Raw genomic sequence first — 25,204 nt, 5'->3', positions numbered from 1 at the left:
GAATAACTTACGCAGAAATCTGTCGCAGGTGTGGTTGGTATCCCACCCACACCCACTTGGCCCTTTGCATTTCTGTCCACATGGGTCCAGCTTCCAGCTGAAGGCATCTGTGCCTTGCCTGGAGTTTCTTCTGGCCCCCATGTAGCAGGCCAAGAGTGCCAGGGAATTAACACCCCCTGCCAGGGGCAACCTCACTGAGTGATGATGGGAGTGGGTGGATCAATACCCCAGTTCCCTTGTCCTATGGGTAGATCACCCTGAGGCACGTGCTCTCCCAGCATTGTCCAGCAGGATTGAGCTCCAGCTGCCCGCAGAAGTCATCAGCAGATGGCACATCCTTGACTGCTCTCCATCCTTCCTGGGCTCACCTCCACACCCACCTCCCAGAATTTCCTGAGACCACCTCTCAGATAACCAACTTGCACTCAAAGCTCTCCTTTGGAGTGTGCTTCTGGGAGTGCTCAGCCTCAGACAAACTAGAAAGCAGTGGTCAGTAAAGTGAGAAAGTCAGAGAACCTTGGAGGAGAAGGGCTCAGGGAGGAGAAAGCACAGAGAGGCTATGTGTGTGTCTGGGGCTGCGTATATGAGATCAGTGTGCACATATAGTCACCTTGTTCTATTTTTAAAAATCTTAATGATTTTTTAACCCAATATATCAAATATCGTTTCAACATGTAGTCAATATTTTAAAAATCATAATGAGGAAAAAATCTTAAATATTAGACTCTCTTCTTCTAGCTAGTCAGCTTTCTGTGCCCCTGAGTACTTGGCACAATGTCCTGTTCCCTTGGGCACATTCAGTCAAAGAAACCTTAGGAAGCAATGACATTGCAACTTACTTTTTCTGACAGGCCTCAAAAGCCATGCTAGATAGCAGAGTTGTCTGACGTAGAAAGCATTTCTTCTTATCTTTGCAGAATTATAACAACAGATTTGTTCCTGGCAATATTAGAATTGCTAAGAGCTTGGATTCTAGGGTCTCATAGCAATCCCATCTTTAATGCTCACTAGCTCTATGATCTTGGCCAGTCAACTTGGTAATTTCTCCATGTCTCAGTTTCCTTGTCTGTGAAATGCAGATTTAATCTTAATTACCTACCGTATAGCATTGCTATAAGAAGTCAATGAAATAGTGTAAGGCACTGGAAATTGAGTACACAATAAGCTCCAAATAAATGTAAGTTGCTGTTGGGTTACCAAGTCTTTGGGTCAAATTTCAAAGGAGGATACCCATTTTAAATGAAAAGAAGTTACACATTAACATGTAAACGCATCTCCCCTTGCCCTGTCTTCTGTCCCGCACTCAGCAACACCCAATGCCACCATCAATTCACACCCTGTCCACTATTCTGGGAGGCCAGGGCCCTGTCCCTTGGATGTGTGTCCCTCCATTTCCCGATCTTACCTTTCAGGTGTGAAAGTCTTAGAACATCAGGCTGACAGACGTTTCAAGAGCCTCTGAAAATGTTTGTGCCCAAAAATATGGAAGAAAAAAAAACCCACTGCAAAATTAAAATCAATAAATGTTTAATTAAACATCTAGAAAACTAACATCATGGCGAGTTCATTAATTGTTCCATTTAGTTCTCATAAAAATTTCATGACACTGCATTATTTTTGAAAAGAATTTATAGGTGGTGAAATTTTCCTCATTTTGCAAGAATTCCCAAGAATAATGCTTGATAAATTGTGGCCAATTGTAATTCAGTGAATTTTTTGTAGGCAAATAATTTTGGAAGCAAAATGATTTTTAAAATCTTTTGATTATAATAAAAGTTAAATATGAAGTGGCCTCCTTCCCTCTCCCCTTGCCCACTTCCTGTCACCTGTTCTCCCAGCAACCAGGGCCACCTTTCCAAATCTTCCACTTGCCTTCGATGAAAATCTTCCCCTGGCCCTTCCCTTACCTCCTGGGTAAAAATCTCAGTTTTCTACCAGGACTGTCCATGCCCTGTCCATGCCCACTTCCCTGACCTCTTACGCACTTGAGAGCAGGTGCTGTTGCCCCCCGCTCAGGTCGCCTTTACCAGTCAGTGCTGGGGCCCTAGGACTTGGTCTGAGTCACCCCATTCATCCCAGGACCAGGCAGTGTGGCCTCTTCTGCAGCCAGAGTGGGAAATGGAGGCAGGAATCAGCAAATGGAACTGCTATTGTTAGAATGTCCCTTGCAAAACTCATGTGGAAATTTAATTGCCATTGTGATGGTATTAAAAAGGTAAGACCTTTAAGAAGTGATTAGGTCAGGAGGGCTCTGCCCTCATGAATGGACAAATGCTATTTTTTGCCATTGTAGTTTGGTTATCTTGGGAGTTCAGCTCCTTTCCTCTCTGTCTCATATGCTTGTATGCCCTTCTGCCTTCCACCATGAGATAATACATCATGAAGTCCCTTGCCAGAGGCTGGTGTCATGCTCTTGGACTTCCCAGCCTCCAGAAGCATGAGCCAAATAAAATCCTATTGTTTATAAATTACCTAGGCTGTGATGTTCTGTTATAGCAGCAGAAAACAGACGAAGACAGAGACGTTTCTCCCATGCCCTGCAGGGCCCAGCATGTGGCCCGATAAAAGGAAGGCATGAGAAAGTATTTGGCAAATGATCAGGTGAGTGAATAGGATTGCTTTATTACCAGAGAGAGGGACAGCTGAGCATCACATGGTGATAACATGACTAGCTCCTGTTTATTGAGCACATACTATGTGCCCAGTGCTCTACTAGGACCTACAGGTACACAATCCCATTTAACCTGTGCAACAATCCCACAAGGTAAGTACTTCTATGACCCCCTTTACAAAGACATAAACTGAGCCTCAGACAGAGCAGTAACTTGCTCAAGGCACAGAGTTAAAAAGCTGGGTGCCAAGACCAGAACCCCAGGTCTCTTCAACTCCAATGGATACAGATAAACAATGGAGGCCCCATCAACAGCTCTGCCTGGAAGAGCAGAGAACAGGGCCAGGGCAGACTCCTCTAGGGACTGCAATGAAAACCTGCTTTCCTGGACACACCAGTTTTACTCAGTCTTCATTCCACCCCAGGAGGATGACTTTGTGACCTTGGGCAATCTCCATTCCCCTCTTCAGCCACCCCTGGTTCTCTGACCCTTGTCCCTGACCAAAGACATGTTATTATTCACATTCAGTACCTTTCCACCTCCTCCCCCTGCATGAATTCACAGAGGAAATCTGAAAATAAAATCCAGGCTGCCTGGTAGAAGGGAGACTTGGGTTTTGTCAACACAATGTGCAGTAAAAATATCTCTCTTTTAAAAGAGAGAGAGAAAAATTTAAAGACTCAAGATCAGTAACATGTAATTATCATCTGGTTTGGGCGGAGAGCTCTAATAGTTTCCAGAAAAACACAAGCCATGAACAGGGAGTGCGCCTTCCAAGGCAAAAGGAGATGAGGACTCCAGCAGGCAGTGGTGCCATCTTGGAAGTCTTGTGGCCTTTGAGGCCCTTTCCAGGCAGAGTAAGGAGGCACAGCAACTGCTGAATAAATGAACCCCGTGAATGGACACACCTGAAGGCACAGAGGAGGTATCTTTGCTCCTTTCTTGGGGACACCAGGGAACCTTGAAATGGCAGAGATAGCTAGGTCTCTGCCAATATCTACTGTCCCCCATTTTAAAGTCATAGAACCCCAATTTTAGCTGAGCACATGGTGACCCACAATACAGACCATCTTTCCAGGCCTCCCCTTACAGATAAGAGCCACAAGACTGACCAATGGGGTATTAGTGGAATGTGTGTGCAACTTGTAAGATGCGTGCTTAAAGGGAGATATCTGCCCTTGTTCCCTTTCCTACTCCCTGCTGGAAGGAATGCAGATGTAATGGCTGGAGCTTAGCAGCCATTCTAAAATGTAAGGCAAACTTGAGAATGAAGGCCACAAATGGCAGACCGACAATGTAGAAGGACCCCAGGTCACCACACTAAACCTGGAATGCCTACAACTCTTTCAAGAAAAAGACACAACTCTATTGTTTTAGCCACTGGTATTTAGGCTTAAAGATAATCCTTAGGGTCAAACTCAACTTAAACAGCTCTTAAATAGAGAAGAGAAATAAAGGCAATCTAAGTATTTAAAAGTAAGACTCCCACTCAGTGGGTGACAAGCACATAGCAGATTCCTGGCTTCATCTCCAGATGTGCCATGGAATGCAAAGAAAGGTGGAACCTACCCACGTGAAATGTTTTCTTCTTTTTGTCTATTGCTCTCTTTTGTTTGTTTGCTGTCTAAAGAGATACTGTGGAGATGCATCATGTTTTCTAACTTATGCAAATGTTGTGAGCACATACTAAGTGTCAAAAATGCTTTTTCTTAGTATCTCTGCTTTATAGTTAAAGAAACCGCGGCTCAGAGAGGTAGCGCCACACAGCTGGGAAGGAGAACCTGCCCTGGAGAAGAGACAAGACAGAATCCTTGTCCAGGGAACTTCCCGAGGCGCTTGGTCTCCACTGGCATGGTGGTCCCTGCTACAGACTCCTAAAAATGGCTCAGGCCCAGAGGGGCTCCATGTGCCTTCAGGATGTGGCCACGGGGACAGAAAGGGGTCATCCAAGCACAGTCTGGATGGAGACCAGCCGTGAGGGGCACCAGCCTCCTCCCTGCAGCAGAAGCCATCTTCCTAGAAGTAAGGCTGGCACCCAAGACCAAGCTAACATCCCTCAACCTGACCTGCAAGCCCACCAGGGACCTGGGGTCAAGGCCTGAGCTGCAGAGGCCAGGGAAGGAAGGGGAGAAGCTAGCATGGGCCCTGGAGATGGGGGGAGAGAGAGTTTCCCCACGGGGGAGTGGTGGGCTGTGTCAAGACCAACACTGGGAGGCCAGGCCGGAAGAGCACAAAGAACTGCCTGGAGGCTTCACAGAGAAACAGCTGGAATCTGACTCCTTCCAGGAAAGATGAGTGAAGAAACCACGATGAGTGACTGAAGAGACAGGAAGAATAAAGGATGATGCAGGACAAGGCAGTGGGAGGGGTGGGCACGTCTTGGAGCTGTGATTCATCAAGTCTGGAGTCCAACCATGGGTTGGGGTAGGAGCTCCTCCCTGCAGATCAGAGGGAACTTGAAGCCAAGGTGCGCCCAAGCCCAGGTTGGTGAGCGGCATCACCTGGTGGCCAGTTCGGGCGTGGCACCCCAGACACCCAAGGGACTCAGCCTTGCAGGGCTCAGCCGGAGCCCCTTCCGGAGGGCACCTTCATCATCTCCCTCAGCACCCCACCTACCCCCCCATTTAAAGAGCACTATTGTTATTTCATAGGGTGATACCTGCAGTTTTCGCTTTTACATAAAAGGAGAATAAAAGCATCCTGCAGTTTGCTGTTATTGACTTGCCCCAGACTTACTGGTTCTCCACCTGGAAGCAGGAAAAGTCACCCAGGAGCATAAAAAATCTCACCCTCGGGCCCCAGCCGCAGAGGTTGGAGTTGACTAGTCTGGGCCGGCCTGGGCATTGAGACTTTTTTTTTGCTTCAAACACTTAACATGCAGGCAGGGCGGAAGACCTGGGCTCCAGGTGCTCGCTCTGCAAAGACAGATAGCTTCAGGATAAACCTCCGGACCCCCTTTCCATTTGTATTTGCCGCTAAGCTGCTCCTTATGCATAAATGGGGTCTGCAAGGAGCACAGACGTCTCTAGCCCTCCCAGCCCTCTGCAGATGAGACACAGACCCCAAGTCCAGGGACTTCCAGGGCTGAGCTCTCAACCCCCTTGGCTGCCAAAAGCTGGGGGGCCTTGTACACAGCATTCACCTCTGTGGGCCTCAGTTCCTCCTTCTGTGATCTGGAAGAGAACAGTGGCTCTGAGTTTTTCTGAGGTCACTGGCCCTTTTGAGAATTATGTAAGCAACGGGTCCTCTCCCAGAAGCATTCCTGTGAGGTGACCACGGTGCCCGTGACTACGGATGGCTCTGGGGCTCTAGCCCGACAGCTGGGCTGTATCAGCCCCTTAGGTCCTCACCTCGACCCCATGCGCTAGGTCCTTTGATTAAGTCCTTTTACACATGGGGAAACTGAGGCACAGAGGGGTTAAATAATTTGTCCGAGGTCACACAGCCGGTAAATGGCGGAGCCAGGTTTGGACCCAAGCATGCTGACCCAGGCTTGCATTCCGAACCACTCGGCTGCTGACCCCAGGCATCTGACTCTGGAATTAATAAGCAAGTTTTATGATGAGGCGGGGAACTCCACGCCATCTGTGCACTAAGGGTGATTCACCAGTGACTTCTGGGTGTTATAGATCAGGAAACACAATTGGGGAATGGACAGGACAAGCTCTGTCATGGACTCTGTGTGGCCTTGGACAAGTGATCTTGCCTTTCTAGCCTCAGTTTCCCCCCTGAGAAGAAGACAGAACTGGCCCCTACCCTGTAGATGGGTTGGAGGAGCACTTGAGATTGGAAAACGCATAATAGGTGTTCATTAAAGAGGCTCACATGGATACACACAAGAACAATCTCAGGGCCTTCACGCACCTAAATGTTCTGCCCCTAGTGTGGGCAAGGGAAACAAACTGGAAGAAGACAAGAAAAGCCACTGAGAGCTGGGGACGGTGCCTCTGTAGCACCTGTGAGTCCCCGAGGAGGAAGTACTACAGGAACCAGCGGGGCCGGGCGTGGGGGCTTGCGGCTGGAATCCCAGCACTGTGGGAGGCCAAGGCAGGCAGATCGCTTGAGCCCAGGAGTTTGAGACCAGCCTGGGCAACACGATGAAACCCCATCTCTACAGAAAATACAAAAATTAGCCGGGCATGGTGGTCTAGGCCTGTGGTCCCAGCTACTAGGGAGGCTGAGAGGTGGGAGGATCGCTGGAGTCCGGAAGGTCGAGGCTGCCGTGAGCCGTGATCACGCCACTGCACTCCAGCCTGGATGACAGAAACCCTGTCTCAAAAACAAACAAAAACACAGAAACCAGATAACCAGCCCCAGCCCCTCACATCATCAGAGTGATGCCACGCCCTGGCATCCCCCTCCACGTGGTGCATGCTCTTTTTTTTATTTTTATTTTCTTCAGTTCTCTGATGCTGATTCAGAAAATAAAAATGTAGAGGTCCAGGTGGGCTGTGCCTGGAACGGGGAAGGTGAGGGAAGTCCTCTGTCTCAAAGGCCTCTTCGGAGGACGCTCTGGTCTTGCCAAGTTTACAGCTCCTCCCTGTCAACATCAAGTCAGGTCCCCAACTCTGTCTTGCTCATCCACCTGGCTTCCACTTTTTTTTTCTTTCAAAAGACGAACAGAGAAGTTTCATTTTCTTTTTCTCCTGAAACCGAATCTGGCCGGCCTGGCTAGGCATCTATTTCCGGGCTGTAAGCAGCTGACACCTGCCCAGTGGAAGCTGGCATCCCTCCCCTTGTGGGTTCAGAGCTGCAAGAAGCACCAGGCTCGGCCACTTCAGAAGCCCCAGCCTCGACCTAGCCCACCCTCTCAGGGCCACAGTGCAGAAGCCTGCACACCTGCCAAGTCTCTCCGACTCCTTGCAGCTGCTGTCAGCATGGCCCAGGCTCCTGCTGACCCGGGCAGAGAAGGTACAGTACTTCTTCCTTCCAAGGACCAGCGGTAGCTCCCGGGGTGAGATTTCTACTTCTCTTTCCTCCTGTTTCGCTTGGTCCAGATCATGATGACAATAGCAGTATCCTAAAGAATAGTAGACCAGCTGGGCGTGGTGGCTCACGCCTGTAATCCCAGCACTTTGGGAGGCGAGGTAGGTGGACTGTTTAAGCTCAGGAGTTTGACACTAGCCTGGCCAACATGGCGAAACCCCATCTCTACTAAAATTACAAAAATTAACCGGGCATGGTGGCGCATGCCTGTGATCCCAGCTACTCGGGATGCTGAGGCTGGAGAATCGCTTGAACCCGGGAGGTGGAAGTTGTAGTGAGCTGAGATGTCGCCATTGCACTCCAGACTGGGTGACAGAGTGAGATTCCATCTCAGAAAAAAAAAAAAAAAATAGAAAGGGACAGCATAGCCATCCCCCTTTGACAGCTGACTGTGCCCCAGGCACCTCGAAACATGCTTTCCAAGCATTTCCTGATGGCCTGCAGGGACAAGTGCCATGTCATTCCCATTTTATAGATAACTGAGGCCCTGAGAGGTGAAATGACACTCTCAGGGTAACACAGCTGGCGAACGCTGGTGTTAGCGTCTGAACACCCATGTCACAGTCATATCGAGAACAAAGCGGTTTGCTTTGATGAGATACATGTGTGCCTTTGTTCCCCCTTGTTGCATCCTTTCCTCAACTAACATTTCATTCATTTTATTCCTGGAAGAGTTGCAATGAAAGCCAATAGTGTATCGAGTAATTGCTGTTCTCTAGGGTCTCCACTAAGCGCTGTGGACTGTAGGTGAAGTGTGGTTTTGCGGTTTGGGGGATGTGTTTGTTTTGTTTTTAATCCTCACCACAATCTTTGAAGTAGTTATTACTGTCTCCATTTCACAGAAGAGGAACCTGAAGCCGGAGGGGAGGTCACACAGCTAGTAGTTGGCAGGGCTAGGAGCTCAAACCCAGGAAATCAGCCATCAGAATTTTAAAAAACCAACACAGAGTGTGCCCCGGGAGGGCTAATGTCAGGGTGTGGCCCAGGAGCCGGGCTGACCGCGGAGGTCCTGTGGAGCTTCCTCTTCGGGGACTCACGGGTGCTGACGCAGGTTCCGGACTCAGCCCTCGCTGGCTTTTCTTGTCTTCCTCCCCAGTTGATTTTCCTTTTGTGACCAAATTGTTGCCTACACCTGCTCCATTTTACAATTTCCCATTTTCAGACACAGTAGCCTGGGACTCAGCAGTCGAGGCCAGCCCAGGGCCAGTGCTTGTCCTGCATCCACACCTCTGACCCCCATCTCCTCTGGGGTGTGTGGAGCCGAGGCAGTGGCTCCCTAAGGTCAGCCTTCCAGAATCAAAACTGCGGCCAGGCGCAGTGGCTCACGCCTGCAATCCCAGCACTTTGGGAGGCTGAGTTGCGGGGATCACCCAAGGTCAGGAGTTTGACACCAGCCTGGCCAAAAAGGGAAACCCTGTCTCTACTAAAAATACAAAAATCAGCCGGGTGTAGTGGTGCGTGCCTGTAATCTCAGCTACTTGAGAGACTGAGGCAAGAGAATTGCTTGAACCCAGGAGGTGGAGGTTGCAGTGAGCCGAGATCACACCACTGCAGCCGCAGACCAGGCAACAAGAACGAAATTCCATCTCAAAACCAAAAAACAAAAAACTCTGCGAGACAAGGTGAAGCCAGGTGTGAAGTCAGGTGCATGGAGGTGCTGCTGGCTGCCGGTGGGGGAGTTTGGTGGGCGCAGGAGTGGGAATTCCCAGGTCTTCTAATTGGTCTTCACCTGCACACGGCAAGCCGGTCAGCGTTGTAACCATCAGGGTGAGGCACAAACTGATTCTTCCCTCCCCTACAAGTGCTGTGACCAAGGAACCCTGGGCAAACCTGGAGAATCCTCTGAACAGGAAAGAAAGCCCAGATGACAAAGGACTGAGTCACTGTCCTGGAAGGGGAACTCAGGTCTTTCCAAGAAGGGCTCTCCCATGCACTGCCCTCAGGTTCCTTGAAGCAGAAGCTTCCTGGTGACAGGTGGGGCCCCCGCCCACAGTGGCTCTCCCAGGCTGCTGGCTGCCAGGTGCTGCCCGTAACCTGCGTCTGCCCCAGCCTCATCTCTGGGCAGAGCAGCTGGCTTTGATCTTTTAATCATTGTGTGAGCTAATGGTTTTGATTTTTAAGAGCTGCCTCAGGAGGAGCAGGGGCCATTTGGAGAATTCCTCCTTGAACCTCTTGGGGTCCTGCTTAGTCCTCATTAAACTCAGGCCAGGAAACAGCAGCACATTGCCAACTGGCCAAGGAGAAGCTACCCGGGCCCTGCCCAGGGTCTATTGGGTAAACGTCTGTCCCTAGAGACAGACACTCACTCATTCAGTCCTTTTTTTTTTTTTTTCCAGAGATGGGGTCTTGTCCAGGCTGGAGTGCAGTGGTGCATTCATAGCTCACTGCAACTGCTACCTCCTAGATTCAAGCGATCCTCCCACTTTTAGCCTCTTAAGCAGCTGGGACTACAGGCATATGCCATCGTACCTACCTGATTTTTCTCTTTTTTTGTAGAGATGGGGGTCTCACTATGTTGCCCAGGCTGGTCTAGAACTCCTGGCCTCTAGGGGTCCTCCCATCTCAGCCTTCTGATGTGCTAGGATTACAAGTGTGAGCCACCACTCCTGGCCCCATTCATTCATTCATTCATTCACTCAGTCACTCATACATTCAACTGCCATTTCCTGAGCACCTACTGTGTGCCCAGCACTGTGCTAGATGCTGAAGGTACAACAGTGAGCCATGCAAGCACAGCAGGGGACACTAGGGGAAGTTCTGCAGGGGACCCACACACAAGCAGCGTCCCAGCCACTCTGGGACACAGAGACAGGCTTTCCCTAGGAAGTGGCATCTGAGGAGGCCTGGAGGTTGAGTAGACATCATACAGGTTGGGGCGTGAGGGAAGGGTGCTCCTGGCAGCAGGAACAGTGTGCACAAAGGGGCTGGGGAGAGTGGGGCTGAAGGGAGCACAGACAGGCCAGCACTTGGAGGGAAGTTGGGGGCAGGTGCAGGCCAAGCTGGGTGGTTGGCAGAGCCAGATCTGGAGGGTACCTGACTGGAGCTGGCGGGCCAACGGGGAGCCTATCACTGTACCTAGGAGATGGTGAAGAGGAAGGGGGTGGTGCTGGCAGAAAAGAGAGGAGTGGGGGGATTCCAGAGAATCCAGGAATGGCATTTCCAGGGCTCCACGACTGGGCACTGGGGGAAAGGTCTGTTTCTGATGTCTGGTCGGTCTCTGGCTTGGATGGATAGTGGCGCCATGGATGGATGGTGAGCTGAGAGGAGGGCACTCCCGGGGAGGATGGCGATGGGCATCAGGTAAACCCAGGCAGGCGTCCCAGGCAGGACTTGCCTTTGCGCTCCCAGGTCCCCCTGCCTCCCTCTGGCTCCGTCCTTCTGCCCTCTACTCCCCTCTGCCCTGAGGACACCTGAGAGCTGAGGAACCCCACTGCCCTCTGGAACCCACACCCGGGGAGGGCACAGGCGAGGTGGCACCTCCCCTGGCCACCAGGCTGCGCAGCCAAGGCCGTTTCTGATCAGCCTGCATGCCTCCCTCTGGGCAGATGCAGCTGCCCTACTGCTCTTAGGGGGCATCTGCTGGGGTCCTTGCCCTTTCCTCTGCCCTGGACCCCTCTCAAAAAGGGGCCTACGTGCCTCCTGGAGCCTCCAGCCTGGGCTCAACTGTGGGGACCTGGGAGACTCAGTTCCCCTCTCTGTCCCCCGCTCGCTCCCCCAGGCCACCTTGAACAAAGAATCCTGCAGGTGCTGACAGAGGCTGGCTCCCCGGTGAAACTTGCCCAGCTGGTGAAGGAATGCCAAGCACCCAAGAGGGAGCTCAACCAAGTCCTCTACCGAATGAAAAAGGAGTTGAAAGTCTCCCTCACATCCCCTGCCACCTGGTGCTTGGGCGGGACTGATCCTGAAGGCGAGGGTCCTGCAGAGCTGGCCTTGTCCAGCCCTGGTAACTGCCACCCCGGGGAGGCGGGTCTGACCCTGCAGGGAGCATCCTGGCAATGGACAAGCACAGATTTGAGCCTGGGTTCGAATCTGAACTCTGCCACATGGGAGCTCACAGGTTTCCTCTCTCTGTGCCTTGGTTTCTTTTTCTGGTTGATGGAGCTCACAGCAGGGCTGCTTGGTAGGGGTTGCTGAGAGGAGGCCCTGCGTCAGGCTCAGCCCAGCCCTGCACACAGGAGGTACTCTGCAGAACACTAACAATTATAATAGAAAATCATCATGATGGAGACAGCAATGACGCCATGGTCCCAATCACAGAACATATGCAGTCCCACCAGCCCCCCTTTTCTAGCTTTACAGCCCACAGCCAGAAGGAGCTGCCATTTATCATGCACTTAAGATTAGCCAGGCACTGTTTTGGGGTTCACCCAGCCCTCACACAACCCCAGGAGGCAAAGGAGGCTGAGCCCCGGAGAAGTTAATCGGCAGGAAGCCGCAGCTGCCAGGGCGCAGGCAGGATTTGAAGTCAAGTGTGTTGAACTCTGGAGTCTGAGTTTGCAACTACCGGCATTGCCACTTACCCCTAGGGAGCTGCCCACCTTTGTGGGGTGGAGGCCTGGTGCTGTCTTCTGTCCCCCACCCCTCTGACCCATCTTTCTTTCTGCAGCCGAGAGGCCCCAGCAACATGCAGCTACAATTCCAGAGACCCCTGGCCCTCAGTTCAGCCAACAACGGGGTAAGTTTTTGCATGTCCCTTCAGTTCCCGGGACACAGGATCCCACTCCCCAGGAACCCCAGGCCCTCCTTGAGGGTACAAGATCTCACCAGTGTTCAGGGGCCCTGTCCCACCCACCAGGCAGCTCCCATACAGTGTTCAGAGCCAAGACCCAGCCCTCACAGTGGGAGAATCTGAATGGCTGAGCAGTGATTTCTCCAGTCAGACAATAGCTGACCCTCACCATGCACCCGCCACATGCCAGGCCCAGCGCAGAGCACTCTGTGCACATCCCCCACCCTCAGGGCACCTCTGCGGTGCGTCATGATGACCCCGTTATCATGACACCCATTTTACAGATGAGGAAACCAGGCCTTGAGGGGCTGGGTCCAGGGCCACACAGCTAGGAAGCGGTGGGGCAGATGCAAACCCTAGGACTACTCCCTAACCACCTGGCCATCCTGCCTCCCAGAGGAAGACATCTACAGGTTTCTCAAAGACAATGGTCCCCAGAGGGCCCTGGTCATCGCCCAAGCACTGGGAATGAGGACAGCAAAAGATGTGAACCGAGACTTGTACAGGATGAAGAGCAGGCACCTTCTGGACATGGATGAGCAGTCCAAAGCATGGACGATTTACCGCCCAGGTAGGCCCCCGGCTGCCTGTGTCTGGGCTGCAGAGGGAAACCATGACACTAGTGCTTGGTCTTTGCTGGGTGCTCTGCTGAGCAGCTCACCGGAAACTGCTAGAAGCTTCTGGAGGTCCTACCGACAATTCACTGCAAGGGCTTCCAGGAGGAAGGGGTGTGCTGGCAAGATTAACCAGGGACAGCTTTTTGGAGGCGTGGCCCAAGGTCTGCAGTTGCAGAAGGCCAGTGAATGGGACGGAGGTGGCCCATTCCCAATGTTCTCAGCTCTGGGGTGCAGGGATCAGTCTGAGTTTGGGAATGGTTTTCTTTGAGCACTTTGCTCAAGTTGGGGTTTAAAAGTTGGCAGAAGAGAAGGCAAGACTAGTCTTGGACCCCTACCGGCTGGAGCCCCAGGGTCAGCGCAGGGTCAGCTTCCCCGTGAGACCTAACACACACAGGGCCAAGATCCAATAGGTGCATGGCATTCTCAGGGGTCCTTGAAAATGTTTTAATTTTAATTTCATTTAAAATCAGAGGAAATGAATACTACAATAATAATGAATATCTAAAAATGGGCCAGGCACGGTTGCTCACGCCTGTAATCCTAGCACTTTGGGAGGCTGAGGCGGGCAGATCACCTGAGGTCAGGAGTGACCAGTCTGGCCAACATGGCGAAACCCCGTCTCTACTAAAAATACAAAAATTAGCCAGGTGTGGTGGTGGGCGCCTGTAATCCCAGCTACTCGGGAGGCTGAGGTAAGAGAATAGCTTGAACCTAGGAGGCAGAGGTTGCACTGAGCTGAGATCGCGCCATTGCACTCCAGCCTGGGCAACAAAAGCAAAACTCTGTCCCCCAAAAAATAAAATAAAATAAAATTTAAAAATCCAGCCTGGGTTATCCTTGCTATACAATGTAATTTAAATATTTGTGTATGGGGGAAGGGCCCACAAAGGCACAGGAGCTGAGACCCTGGAGGGTGGTGATGGGCCCCGCACAGTCTGGGCAGGTGCCTGCCTCAACCTCTGCAGGGCTGACTCTGCTACTCATGACGGGTGCCCGAGGGGGTCTCAGCATCCTAGGGCTGCTGTGAGGAAGGAATAACGCGTGACAGCCACCAGATTTTAAACACTAGTGACAAATTCAAATATTGAAAATGTCATGGGAGCCAAACACGACCGATCTGGCCCAATGGGCTGCTGTTTCTCGGCCATTACTCAAGGGAAAAGGGCAATGGTGCAGGTGCTCGGGGGTCCGGGCTGTGGCTGCCCCCTAGGGAGAGCAGTGTGGGGCCCCTGCGGTCCTCCCAGCCAGCAATCATGGCGGCCCAGCCATGGAGGCAGCAAAAGACACAGGTAGGGTGACTCACAGTGGCTATTTTCAAGTGAGGCTCCCTCTGAGGTACCTGTGGTGTCTGTTAAACACCCAGCTCTGGCCTCCCACTTGGCCCTACTGACTCGGAACGCCCAGGGTATTTTAACAAGCTCCCCAGGAGAATTTGGTGCTGCCGACTGGTATTGGGAACCCCTGACCCATAGACAGTGGCAAAGGGATACAGTTGAATATTATTTTGCAGAAGATTCTGGAAGAAGAGCAAAGTCAGCCTCAATTATTTACCAGCACAATCCAATCAACATGATCTGCCAGAATGGACCCAACAGCTGGATTTCCATTGCAAACTCCGAAGCCATCCAGATTGGACACGGGAACATCATTACAAGACAGACAGTCTCCAGGGAGGACGGTAAGTCACCCAAGAGAGCCCAGGGAGGGGACCTCGGTGGGGAGCCACCGGATCCTCTGGGTGGGGGCAAAGGGTAGGGATGGGGAGTGGGGGGATTCTGCCCTCCAAGGGGAAAGGGTTGCTTCCAGACCCCCACAGTCCACCTTTACGGCCGTCCTGAGAATGAGGACACCTGGATCAAAGCTCTCCTGATTTCCCTGTACTCTGATACTTTCTACCTCATTTTAAAGTTTAATTTAATTTTTATTTTTCTAATAAAATTTTAAAATTAAGATGGGGTATCTCTGTGTTGCGCCTGACCTTATGCCTCATTTTCAATGGGGTCCGGTGTTTTTCATGAGAAACAACTCAATTGCCTTTCCCTCCGCGGAATGCTACAGGGGAGGTTATTGTAGTACCGTATTTGTTCTGAGACACGCTACTTTCCCCCACATTTTAACAGGCTGGAAACTGGGGTGCATCTCACCACCTGTGGCATCCTAGTTTGGATGAAATGCGGTGTTGCACTTTGAGCACTTACCCTGTGCCGGGCACTGTGGCAAGAGGGGACAGAGCCACCTGTCAGCCCAGCCTTGTCACCTGTGAGTGACAGCATCAGCCCCAAAGTCGGGACACTCCCTGTAACCTTGGGAGAACCTTTCCCCACTGTCAGCCTCAGTTGTGAAATGAGGAACCTTGTTCTAGAATCTAGATCATGGTTTCCCTAGCTTTAATCTTCTGAGCCCCACCTTCCTGATTCTGGCCATACCCATGTCTGATTATTTAATTAATGTTGTTGAGTAGTGCACCTTTTTAAAAATTTATTTTAAAACAATTTTATAGTATTATTTTAAGTGTAAATCATGAAAAACACCATAAAAATAAATGTTGTCCCTGGCAGTTAAAACACTGCGGGAGGCTCTGAGCCTTTGGTGTTGGCACCAAACGAGACTTGGTCCCCATGAGGTCAGAAGGCTCGGGAGTGACTGGGAATCAGAACAAGGAGCTCATTGTTTGGGTTTGTGAGTGTCCCTGCAACACCCAGGACCAGCCCCGCTCCTGAGAACTCAGGGAGCCCCAAAATGAGCTATTCCGCCAGGTCCTCTTGCTCTCTAAGCCAGAGCCTGAAGTCTTTGGCCGCCAGTTCGATGGTGTCCAGGAAGAATTCAGAGGACAGGCCTGCGTGTGGTGGTGAGGGAAAGGAAGAAGCCTGCAGTAATCTCCGGTGAGGCTGTGCCACTGTCCCCTGCCAGGTTCCGCCGGTCCACGCCACCTCCCTTCAATGGCACCAGGTGATTCCTCAACTTGGGGGACCCTAGTTGATCCCTGGGGGCCCCAGGACATCCACATGGAGCAGTCCATACTGAGACGGGTGCAGCTGGGACACAGCAATGAGATGAGGCTCCACGGCGTCCCGTCCGAGGGCCCTGCCCACATCCCCCCTGGCAGCCCCCCAGGTAACTGGGATCTAGAGGCCAGACCCAACTCTGCCACCCCGTGGGTCCTCACTGGAAGGAACTGGAGCCAGAATCTTTTTGGGAAGAGAAGCATGATGGGAAATTCCTTTCCTTCCACCAGGCAGCTGAACCAGAGTAGAGCAGGTGGGGCTTTTAAAGCTAGCACTCTAGGCTGGGCGCGGGAGCTCACACCTGTAATCGTAGCACTTTGGGAAGCCAAAGCGGGTGGATCACCTGAGGTCAGGAGTTCGAGACCAGCCTGACCAATATGGTAAAACGTCTCTATCAAAAATACAAAAAAAAAAAAAAAAAAAATTAACCGGGCATGGTGGCTTGCGCCTGTAGTCCTAGCCACTCGGAAGGCTGAGGTAGGAGAATTGCTTGAACCTGGGAGGCAGAGGTTGCAGTAAACGGAGATCGCACCACTGCACTCCAGTCTGGGTGACAGAGTGAGACTCCATCTCAATAAATAAATGAATAAAATAAAGCTAGCACTCTGGATCCCCATCCCCTACGACCCACTGCAGGAAACCTCAGTTTCCTCATTTGTAAAATGAGCAGAGAAGCAGAGGCTGGGCCAACTGGAGCAGGGTGATGGTTTGAGACTGGAATGGTGTTTAGGGAGGATGGAAGACAGGTGCCGTACTAGGAGCTGTGGCTGCAGTGACCAGAGGGCCCCAGGCAGAGGCCTCCCCCACACTGGGAATGCAGAGATGGGCTGGGGGAGAAGAACCAGCAGAGAAGCCAGAGAGGGAGGAGGAAAGCAGAGGCCCCGGGAAAGGAGTCTCCAGAGAGGGGCCAGGCTGGTGAGACCAGGGAAGCATCTGTGGGGTTCAGCGAGAGGGATCGTGGTAACCTTGAGGGGGTGGTTTCTGGGGGCCAGGGAGCAGAAGAGGTCTCGGGGGTGGAGGGGGCGGGACTCAGTGTGGATGATTCTTCAGAAGTTTGGGTGGGAAAGGGCAGAGCCAGATGGCAGGAGCTGGGGCCAGGCTGGGAGCCCCCATAAGATTTCAACCAAAAGTGGGGGCCAGTGTTCCAGTGCAGTGGGAAGCAGGCAGCAGAGGAGAGAGGAGCTGAATCCCAGAGGAAGACACTGACGTCCAGATCAGCCGGGCGGGATCAGTGGGGCAGACCCACTGCGGGATCAGTGGAGCAGAAAGACGCTTCCCAGACAGCACAACAGCACGAGCGGAGGTGTGGCGGGTGGAGGTGTGGCGGGCAGGCACAGGCTGTGCTCCTGGGATGGTGTGGGCCACTGGTGGGAGATCTGGGGAGGAGGGTGAACCAGGCTGGGGGTCAGGGTTCCCGGCCACTGTCCAGCTGCTCCTGGCTCCAGGCCTCTCTCCCTTTGACCCACAGTCTCTGCCACTGCTGCCGGCCCAGAAGCTTCGTTTGAAGCAAGAATTCCCAGTCCAGGAACTCACCCTGAGGGGGAAGCCGCCCAGAGAATCCACATGAAATCGTGCTTTCTCGAGGACGCCACCATCGGCAACAGCAACAAAATGTCTATCAGCCCAGGGGTGGCTGGCCCAGGAGGAGTCGCAGGGTCTGGAGAGGGGGAGCCAGGGGAGGACGCAGGTGAGCTAGGGGGCAGAGTGGACCCCTGTGTGTTCTCTCTCTCTCCCCACCTTCCACTCATTCATTCATTCACTCTCATCGATCATTCGCTAATCTCTGGTTTCCCGGAGTCTGGAGGCTGTGCCCACCCACAGCGAGGAGCAGCAGCTCTAGAGTCAGCGTGGAGGCTCCGTCCCCCTAGTGGAGGGACCCACCCAAGTCATTTCACCCAGGAGCCTCTGTCTCCTTAGCTGTAAAGTGGGATGGCAAGAATAGCCTGAAGCAACTCCTACAGTGGTTGCAAGACTGGGGTAAAATCTGAAGGCGAAGCTCAGCCCTACACCAGCCCTGCCAGCATTCAGGAGATAGGAGTGTTATTGTCTCATCATTGTTGTGGTGATTGTTTTGGGCCCGAGAGAGGTGCTGGGTTGCCATGCAAATAAGGTTCTGCATCAGGGCACAGGCTGACCTGCTGCAGTGGAGATGCCACACACGGTGGCCCCGCCTGCTTGAAGCCCAAGTCTCATGTCCGGGTGAGGGTAGCAGACCAGGGTTTCTTTTACCTCAGTGCTGAGTCGTCCCTTGGGCTCCGTCCTCATCTGTGGGGTTGAACTTAGCACCAGCAAGCAGAGGGGCGAGAGAGGGTACAGAGAGCCGCTGTTGTCTTTGACCAAGCCCACCCACTGCATCTGTGCTGTTCTGAGGGCCTGCACTTAGCCACGGGGGGTCTGGGAAGTGCCGCCTGTGTCAAGGCAGTCTAAGCCCAGCAGAGACTCAGGGGAGGGGGCTCCACTGCCAACAGGAAGAGGGGAGAGGGGAAACCAGTGCGGTTCACCGTCCCAGCCACCGTTTGGTCCCTGGAAGCTGCACAGGCTGGTTGCAGAGCCTGAGGATTCCAACTCTGCAGAAGGGAGCTCGGGGCCTCGGGTGGGGGCAGCTGGAGAGTTGGGCAGGTCCACGCAAGGTGGGGAGGGCCAGGGCAGGTGTACCTGGTGGGTGGAACAGTGTGGACAATGGCCTGGAGGTGAGGACATGACAGTGTGGGAACCCACAGGGGTTTGAGGGTGACCTGAGCATGGAGAGCAGAGCCAGGGCCTGGCTCCAGGCTGCAGTCGATGCTAAGGCAATTGGAAGCCATGGGGGGCTTTGAGCAGGAGAGGGGCTGGATGAGATTTTTGCCTCCCATGTGAAAAAAGAATTAGAAGGCGGATTTCCGCTCCTACCCTTTTGGGATCTGGAATAAGGAATCACACCCAGTCCCACCAATGGGTAGAAAACATGGATTCACGGAATCTGGAGGACTGGCCGGCATCCACCCTCCAGTGCCTGAAGGCCCAGGGGATGCATGTCCTGGAAGTCCAGAGGGTCTCCTCACCCCAAGGGCCGTGTCCTTGCTGTCCCAGCAACTGAGGAGACCCTGGCCCCACGTGTCTTCAAACTCTCCCTCCAGGACCCCTGGGAGCCCCATGCACATGTGACACCTGCAGAACGGGGACCAGGAGCGCATTCCTCAGGACTCAGGCCATGAGCATCTGGGAGCATGGACTTCCTTCCAGCAGCAAAGGGAGTCTCTGAGACCTCCAAGGCCACTGGGGACCCTTGGGAGGGCATGTGCCACCAGATGGGGATCCGGCTTAGGACCCCACAGCACAGGCTGTCTGCAGAGCCCTGTGGGTCTCAAGCCAGACCATTGAAGACTTCTCTTTCCGGAAAGAACACAGCACTGTGTTTTTTAAAAATAGCCACACTTCTGGGTGTAGTGGCTCATGCCTGTAATCCCAGCACTTTGGGAGGCCGAGGCAGGTGGATCACGAGGTCAGGAGATCGAGACCATCCTGGCTAACACGGTGAAACCCTCTCTCTACTAAAAAATACAAAAAATTAGCCAGGCATGGTGGCGGGCACATGTAGTCCCAGCTACTCAGGAGGCTGAGGCAGGAGAATGGCGTAAACCTGGGAGGCGGAGCTTGCAGTGAGCCAAGATCATGCCACTGCACTCCAGCCTGGGCGACAGAGCAAGACTCTGTCTCAAAAAAAAAAAATGGTCACACTCCCAGATTTGCCCTGCAACATCCTGACATTCTTCCCTAAGGTTCTAGCAGAAGAGCTGATGACATCTTTGCCCCTTGCCCTGACCCACCCACCTCTCTTTGTCCCCAAGAGACATCAATAGGCATAGCTCAGAGATATTATGGGTGAGTTCCAGAACACCCCAATAAAGCAAGTCATGCAAATTTTTGATTTCCCAGTGCATATACAAGTTATATTCACACGATGCTCTAGTCTATTAGGTGTGCACTGAATCACGTTATATCTAAAAAACAATGTACATACCTTAATTTTAAAATACTTTATTGCTAAAAATGCTAACCATCACCTGTCTTCTGCCAGTCATCATCTCTATGCTGGTGGAGGTCTTGCCTTGATGTTGATGGCTGCTGACTGATCAGGGTGGTGGTTGCTGAAGGTGGAGGCAGCTGTGGCAATTTCTTAAAATAAGGCAACAATGAAGTTCGCTGCAGCAATGAACTCTTCCTTTCATGAAAGCTTTCTCTGTAGCATGCAATGCTGTTTGATGGCATTTTACTCATACTAGAACTTCTTTCAAAATTGGAACCAAGACTCCCCAACCCTGCTGCTGCTTTACCAACTAGGTTTATATAGCAGTCTAAATCCTTTGTTGTCATTTCAAGAATGTTCGCAGTATCTTCACCAGGAATAGATGCCATCTCAAGAAACCACTTTCTTTGCTCATCCATAAGAAGCAACTCATCTGTTCAAGCTTTCTCATGAGATTGCAGCAATTCAGTCCCATCTTCATATTCCACTTCTAATTTGTGTTTTCCTGCTATTTCCACCACATTTGCAGTTGCTGCCTTCACTGAAGTCTTGAACCCCTCAAAGTCATTCATGAAATTTGGAATCAACTTCTTCCAGACTCCTGTGAATGTTGATAGTTTGACCTCCTCCCATGAATCACAAATGTTCTTAACGGCATGTAGATTGGTGATCTTTTCCAGAAGATTTTCAACTTACTTTGCCCAGATCCATCTGAGGAATCACTCTGTGTTGCACTTATGCCCTCATAAAATATATTTATTGAAGAATAAGAAGTGAATGTTGAAGTTACTCCTTAATCCATGGGCTGCAGAATGGATGCTGTGCTAGCAGGCATGAAAACAATGTTAATTCTTTTTTACATCTCCATCAGAGCCCGTGGATGAACAGGTGCATTGTCAACGAGTAGTAAAAAAAAAATTTTTTTTTGGCCCTCAATCCAGGATGCGGAACACTCAGATCCTGTGGTATGGACGATGAGCAGTGAAATGTTCAAAGGAATATTTTGTTTTCTAAGCAGTAAGTCTCAATGCTAGGCTTAAAATATTCAGTAAACCAAGCTATATACAGGTGCTCTCATCTAGCTTTGTTGCTTCATTCATAGAACATAGGCAGAGTCGATTTAGCATCATTCTTAAGGGCCCTAGAATTTCCAAAATGGTAATTGAGGAGAGGCTTCAGCTGAAAGTCACCAGCTACATTAATCTCCAACAAGAGAGCCTGTCCCCTTTGAAGCTTTGAAGCCAGGCATTGACATCTCCTTTCGAGTTATGAAAGTTCTAGATGACATCTTTTTTCAATAGAAGGCTGTTTCATCTACATTAAGAACCTGCTCTGTTGTGTAGTCACGCTCATCAATGATCTTAGCTAGAGCTTCCGGGTAACCTGCTGCAGCTTCTCCATCAGCACTTGCTGCTTCACCTCACACTTGCATGTTATGGGGACGGTTTCTTTCCTTAAACCTCATGAACCAACCTCTGCTCACTTCCAACTATTCTTCTGCAGCTTCCTCACCTCTCTCAGCCTTTAGAATTGAATAGAGCAAGGGCCTTGCCCTAGACGAGGCTTAGGTTTAAGAGATTGTTGTAGCTGGCTCGATCCTCTATCCAGACCACTAAAACTTTCTCCACACTAGCCACAAGGCTGGTTCACTTTCTCATCACTCATGTGTTTGCTGAAGTAAGACTTTTAATATCCTTCAAGACCCTTTCCTTTGCCTTCACAATTTGGCTAACTTTTGACCTAGCTTTCAACTTGTCTTAGCTTTGGACATGCCTCCCTCACCAAGCTTAATCATTTCTCACTTTTGATTTAAAGTGAGAGACGTGCAACTCTTCCTTTCACTTTAGCACATAGAGGCCGTTTGGGGTTATTTATTTATTTATTTATTTATTTTTGAGATGGAGTTTTGCTCTCGTTGTCTAGGCTGGAGTGCAATGGCACAATCTTGGCTCACTGCAACCTCCACCTCCCAGGTTCAAGGGATTCTTTTGCTTCAGCCTCCTGGGTCGCTGTGATTACAGACCTGCACCACCACGCCTGGCTAACTTTGTATTTTTAGTAGAGATGGGGTTTCTCCATGTAGGTCAGGCTGGTCTTGAACTCCCAACCTCAGGTGATCTGCCCACCTCAGCCTCCCAAAGTGTTGGGATTCTAGGTGTGACCCACGGCGCCCGGCCCATTGTAGGGTTATGAATTTTCCTAATTTCAATATTGTTGTGTCTTCAAGGAATAGGGAGGCCTGAGGAGAGGGAGAGAGAGGAGGAGATGGCTGATCAGTGACAGGTTAGAGCACACAGATTTATTAATTAACTTCGTCATCTTCTACAGGTGATATTTGTGGCACCCCAAAGCAAAGCAATTATAATAGCAACATCAAAGATCACTGGTCACAGATCACCATAACACATATAATCAAAATGAAAAAGTGTGAAATATTGTGAGGATTACCAAAATGTGACGCAGAGACAGGAAGTGAGCATATGCTGCTGGAAAAATTGGCACTGATAGACTCGCTTCACACAGGGTGCCACAAACCTTCAACTTGTGAAAAATGAGTGCAATATCTATGAAGTGTAATAAACCAAAGTACAATAAGGTAAAGTGAGATAAAATGAGGTCTGCCTGTCACTTCCTCCTTGAGTGGCGGGCGGGACCTTATCCTGAGATGTGTAAGGCCTGGAATGGTTTTTGTTTTGTTTTGTTTTGTTTTGTTTTGTTTTGTTTGAGGAAATTGCTAATCAGAGACTGTCAGTGCCAGAGCATGTAGAGCCGTCTTTTGGGGTCCCTGGGAGGACTGGGAGAGCCCTGGGATGGGGGCTTTCTGGTGTTATTTCTGCTCCTCCATCTCACTGCTGTGAAACTAGGACAGGACTGGCTACATGATCTGGGGGCCCAGTGCAAAGTGAAAAGGTGGGGCTCCCTGTTCAAGACTTTGTACAAATCTAAAGACAGTAACAACAAAGGCTCAAGCTGAGCTCGAAATCCTTCCAAGAGCGGGTCCCTGTGGAAATGCCCAGGCCACGTGCCCATGAAGCTGATCCCCCATCTTCTCTTCCCTAGGTCGTCGTCCCGCAGACACACAATCCAGAAGTCACTTTCCTCGAGACATTGGTCAGCCCATCACTCCCAGCCACTCGAAGCTCACCCCCAAGCTGGAAACTATGACTCTTGGAAACAGGAGTCACAAAGCTGCAGAAGGCAGCCACTATGTGGATGAAGCCTCACACGAGGGGAGCTGGTGGGGAGGTGGGATTTAGTGCACAGCCTCACGTGGGGCTTGGACACAGGCTGGGGGTGGGCGCATGCTAGGGAGACTAGCCTGCTGCTCTCTGCATTCCTTAGCGTCTTGTTTGACCTGCTTGCTTCCAGACATAACCTGCATGAATCAGTTTTGGGGGAATGGACCTGGCATGGGGATGGGTTCAGGCCAGGTCTTTTGATGGCCAGGAGTAGATGACAGGGAGTTGCCTTGGGGAACCTTTGGTGTGCCAAGAGGAGGTGGGTAGATGGGAGTGGGGCTCGGTCCCCCAGGCCCAGGGGACTCTCTCCACTCTTTCCTGGGCTCGGGGCATCTGCCTGGAGTTACCTTCCATCATGGCTACCTGCTGTGGTTTGAATGTTTGAGTCCCAACAAAATTCATATCAAAACATAATCCCAACTGGGTGCAGTGGCTCACGCCTGTAATCCCAGCACTTTGGGAGGCCGAGGCGGGCGGATCAATAGGTCAGGAAATCCAGACCGTCCTGGCTAACATGGTGAAACCCCGTCTCTACTAAAAAAAAAAATACAAAAAATTAGCCGGGCGTTGTGGCGGGCACCTGGAGTCCCAGCTACTCCGGAGGCTGAGGGAGGAGAATGGTGTGAACCCGGGAGGTGGAGCTTCCAGTGAGCCGAGATCGCGCCACTGCACTCCAGGCTGGGCGACAGAGCGAGACTCCGTCTCAAAAAAATAAATACATAAATAAAAAATAAACCAACCATAATCCCCAGTGCAGTGGTATGAAGAGATGGGGCCTTTTGGAGGGGATGGAGTCAGGAGGGCGAGTGGGATTGTGGGATTAGCGCTGCCATGAAAGGGCTTGAGGGAGCCTGTTAGTCCCGCTTGCCTGTCCGCCATGTGAGGATGCAGTAACAAAGTGCCATCCTTAAAGCCGAGACCAACCCCTCATCAGACACTGACTCTGCTGGCACCTTGATCTTGGCCTTCCCAGACCCCGAAACTGTAAGCAATAAATTCCTGTTGCTTATAAATTACCCAGGGTGAGGCATTTTTTTATAGCAGCCTGAGCCAACTGAAACACTGCCCCACTCTCTCCTCACCTGAGGTCTCACTTCCTCAAGGCCCATTGTGGCCACCTGACCTCCTTATCACCCGACCTTTCTAGAATCTTCTCTCCTCAGCCTTGATCTCTCAGGATCTTTTAGCTGGACTCCCAAAGAGAAAATTCTTTCCCACCCCGACCCTGGGTCCCCAGGCCCTGGTGGAAGTCATTGGCTGACCCATGGGTCAGGTGACCTCTTCTGGCCAATCAGCAGGGAGTGCTTGTGGATTAGCCCATTTTCACGCTGCCGATAAAGATATACCCAAGACGGGGTAATTTATAGGCAAAAAGAAGTTTAACGGACTCACACTTCCACGTGGCTGGGGAGGCCTCACAATCACGGTGGAAGGCGAAAGGCACGTCTTACATGGCAGCAGGCAAGAGAGAGAATGAGAGCCAAGGGAAAGTGGCTTCCCTTATGGAGCCATCAGATCTCATAAGACTTACTTCACTACCAGGAGAACAGTATGGGGGAACCATCCCCATGATTCAATTATCTCCTGCTGAGTCTCTCCCACAACACATGGGAATTATGGGAGCTACAATTCAAGATGAGATTTGGGTGGGGACACAGCAAAACCATGTCAGCTTGTTATTTACCAGACCCCACCACCCCGCTAGGGGCTAAGTTCCCGTAGAAGGGCTATGGGCTCTGCAACATTTCTTGAACCATGGGGTGGGGTGGGTAGTGGAGGGATTTGGTGGGGCATGGTGGGAGGAAGATGGAGAGGGATAGAGGGAGGTGGTGATCAGCTGGGCAGGGTGATTGTGGAACAAGGACTGTGTCCGTCCTTCAGTGTGCACATAGGCACACACACATGCACACACAGGTGTACACACACACATGCACACACACAGGCACTCTGCTGCCCCCAACTCCAATGCCACACCCAGTCCTCAGGTGGGCGTTTGTCACACTCCACTCT

At 51.5% G+C, this 25,204-nt stretch overlaps 1 protein-coding gene across 16 annotated transcripts, besides 4 other annotated features; it reads left to right on the top strand.

Moving 5' to 3' along the window:
• Nucleotides 7,110-7,399: an enhancer, noted in NCBI's record as "active region_18167". NCBI's record gives its function as "activates an Ori minimal core promoter by ATAC-STARR-seq in GM12878 lymphoblastoid cells {active_cell/tissue: GM12878}" and the evidence as "EXISTENCE:reporter gene assay evidence [ECO:0000049][PMID:35858748]".
• Nucleotides 7,359-23,933, top strand: ZBP1 (Z-DNA binding protein 1). 16 transcript variants are annotated; one of them, XR_007067477.1, is made up of 9 exons: nt 7,359-7,523; nt 11,317-11,541; nt 12,205-12,273; nt 12,725-12,898; nt 14,458-14,622; nt 15,855-16,058; nt 17,418-17,636; nt 20,485-20,972; nt 22,284-22,372. XR_007067477.1 is itself a non-coding variant. In NM_001160417.2 (8 exons), the coding sequence occupies exons 1-8, from the start codon at nt 7,490-7,492 to the stop codon at nt 23,210-23,212; spliced, it is 1,287 nt and encodes a 428-aa protein (NP_001153889.1). In that variant the 5' UTR covers nt 7,359-7,489; the 3' UTR covers nt 23,213-23,933. The 16 variants fall into 16 exon arrangements, 9 of the variants coding, with proteins under 9 accessions (NP_001153889.1, NP_110403.2, XP_011527360.1 ...); XR_007067479.1 differs by having other exon boundaries at nt 14,455-14,622; nt 15,855-15,893; XR_001754408.2 differs by having other exon boundaries at nt 14,455-14,622.
• Nucleotides 7,530-7,579: an enhancer, noted in NCBI's record as "active region_18166". NCBI's record gives its function as "activates an Ori minimal core promoter by ATAC-STARR-seq in GM12878 lymphoblastoid cells {active_cell/tissue: GM12878}" and the evidence as "EXISTENCE:reporter gene assay evidence [ECO:0000049][PMID:35858748]".
• Nucleotides 8,660-8,769: an enhancer, noted in NCBI's record as "active region_18165". NCBI's record gives its function as "activates an Ori minimal core promoter by ATAC-STARR-seq in GM12878 lymphoblastoid cells {active_cell/tissue: GM12878}" and the evidence as "EXISTENCE:reporter gene assay evidence [ECO:0000049][PMID:35858748]".
• Nucleotides 8,947-9,806: an enhancer, noted in NCBI's record as "H3K4me1 hESC enhancer chr20:56193035-56193894 (GRCh37/hg19 assembly coordinates)". NCBI's record gives its function as "activates a minimal SCP1, AML or CMV promoter by ChIP-STARR-seq in primed H9 embryonic stem cells {active_cell/tissue: H9 hESC(primed)}" and the evidence as "EXISTENCE:reporter gene assay evidence [ECO:0000049][PMID:30033119]".

The sequence above is a fragment of the Homo sapiens genome, chromosome 20, assembly GCF_000001405.40.
Source record: "Homo sapiens chromosome 20, GRCh38.p14 Primary Assembly".
Taxonomy (NCBI): Eukaryota; Metazoa; Chordata; class Mammalia; order Primates; family Hominidae; genus Homo; species Homo sapiens.
Note: the sequence above shows the minus strand (reverse complement) of the source record. Positions and strands in the feature narration are given on the sequence as shown.

What these genes read in the sequence shown, in the direction of transcription:
- ZBP1 (NM_030776.3), top strand. Translation starts at nt 7,490, where the DNA reads ATGGCCCAGGCTCCTGCTGACCCGGGCAGAGAAG. An exon ending in GCTGGCCTTGTCCAGCCCTG is followed by an intron (nt 11,542 to 12,204) that starts GTAACTGCCACC and finishes TTCTTTCTGCAG; the next exon opens with CCGAGAGGCCCCAGCAACAT. An exon ending in TCAGTTCAGCCAACAACGGG is followed by an intron (nt 12,274 to 12,724) that starts GTAAGTTTTTGC and finishes CCTGCCTCCCAG; the next exon opens with AGGAAGACATCTACAGGTTT.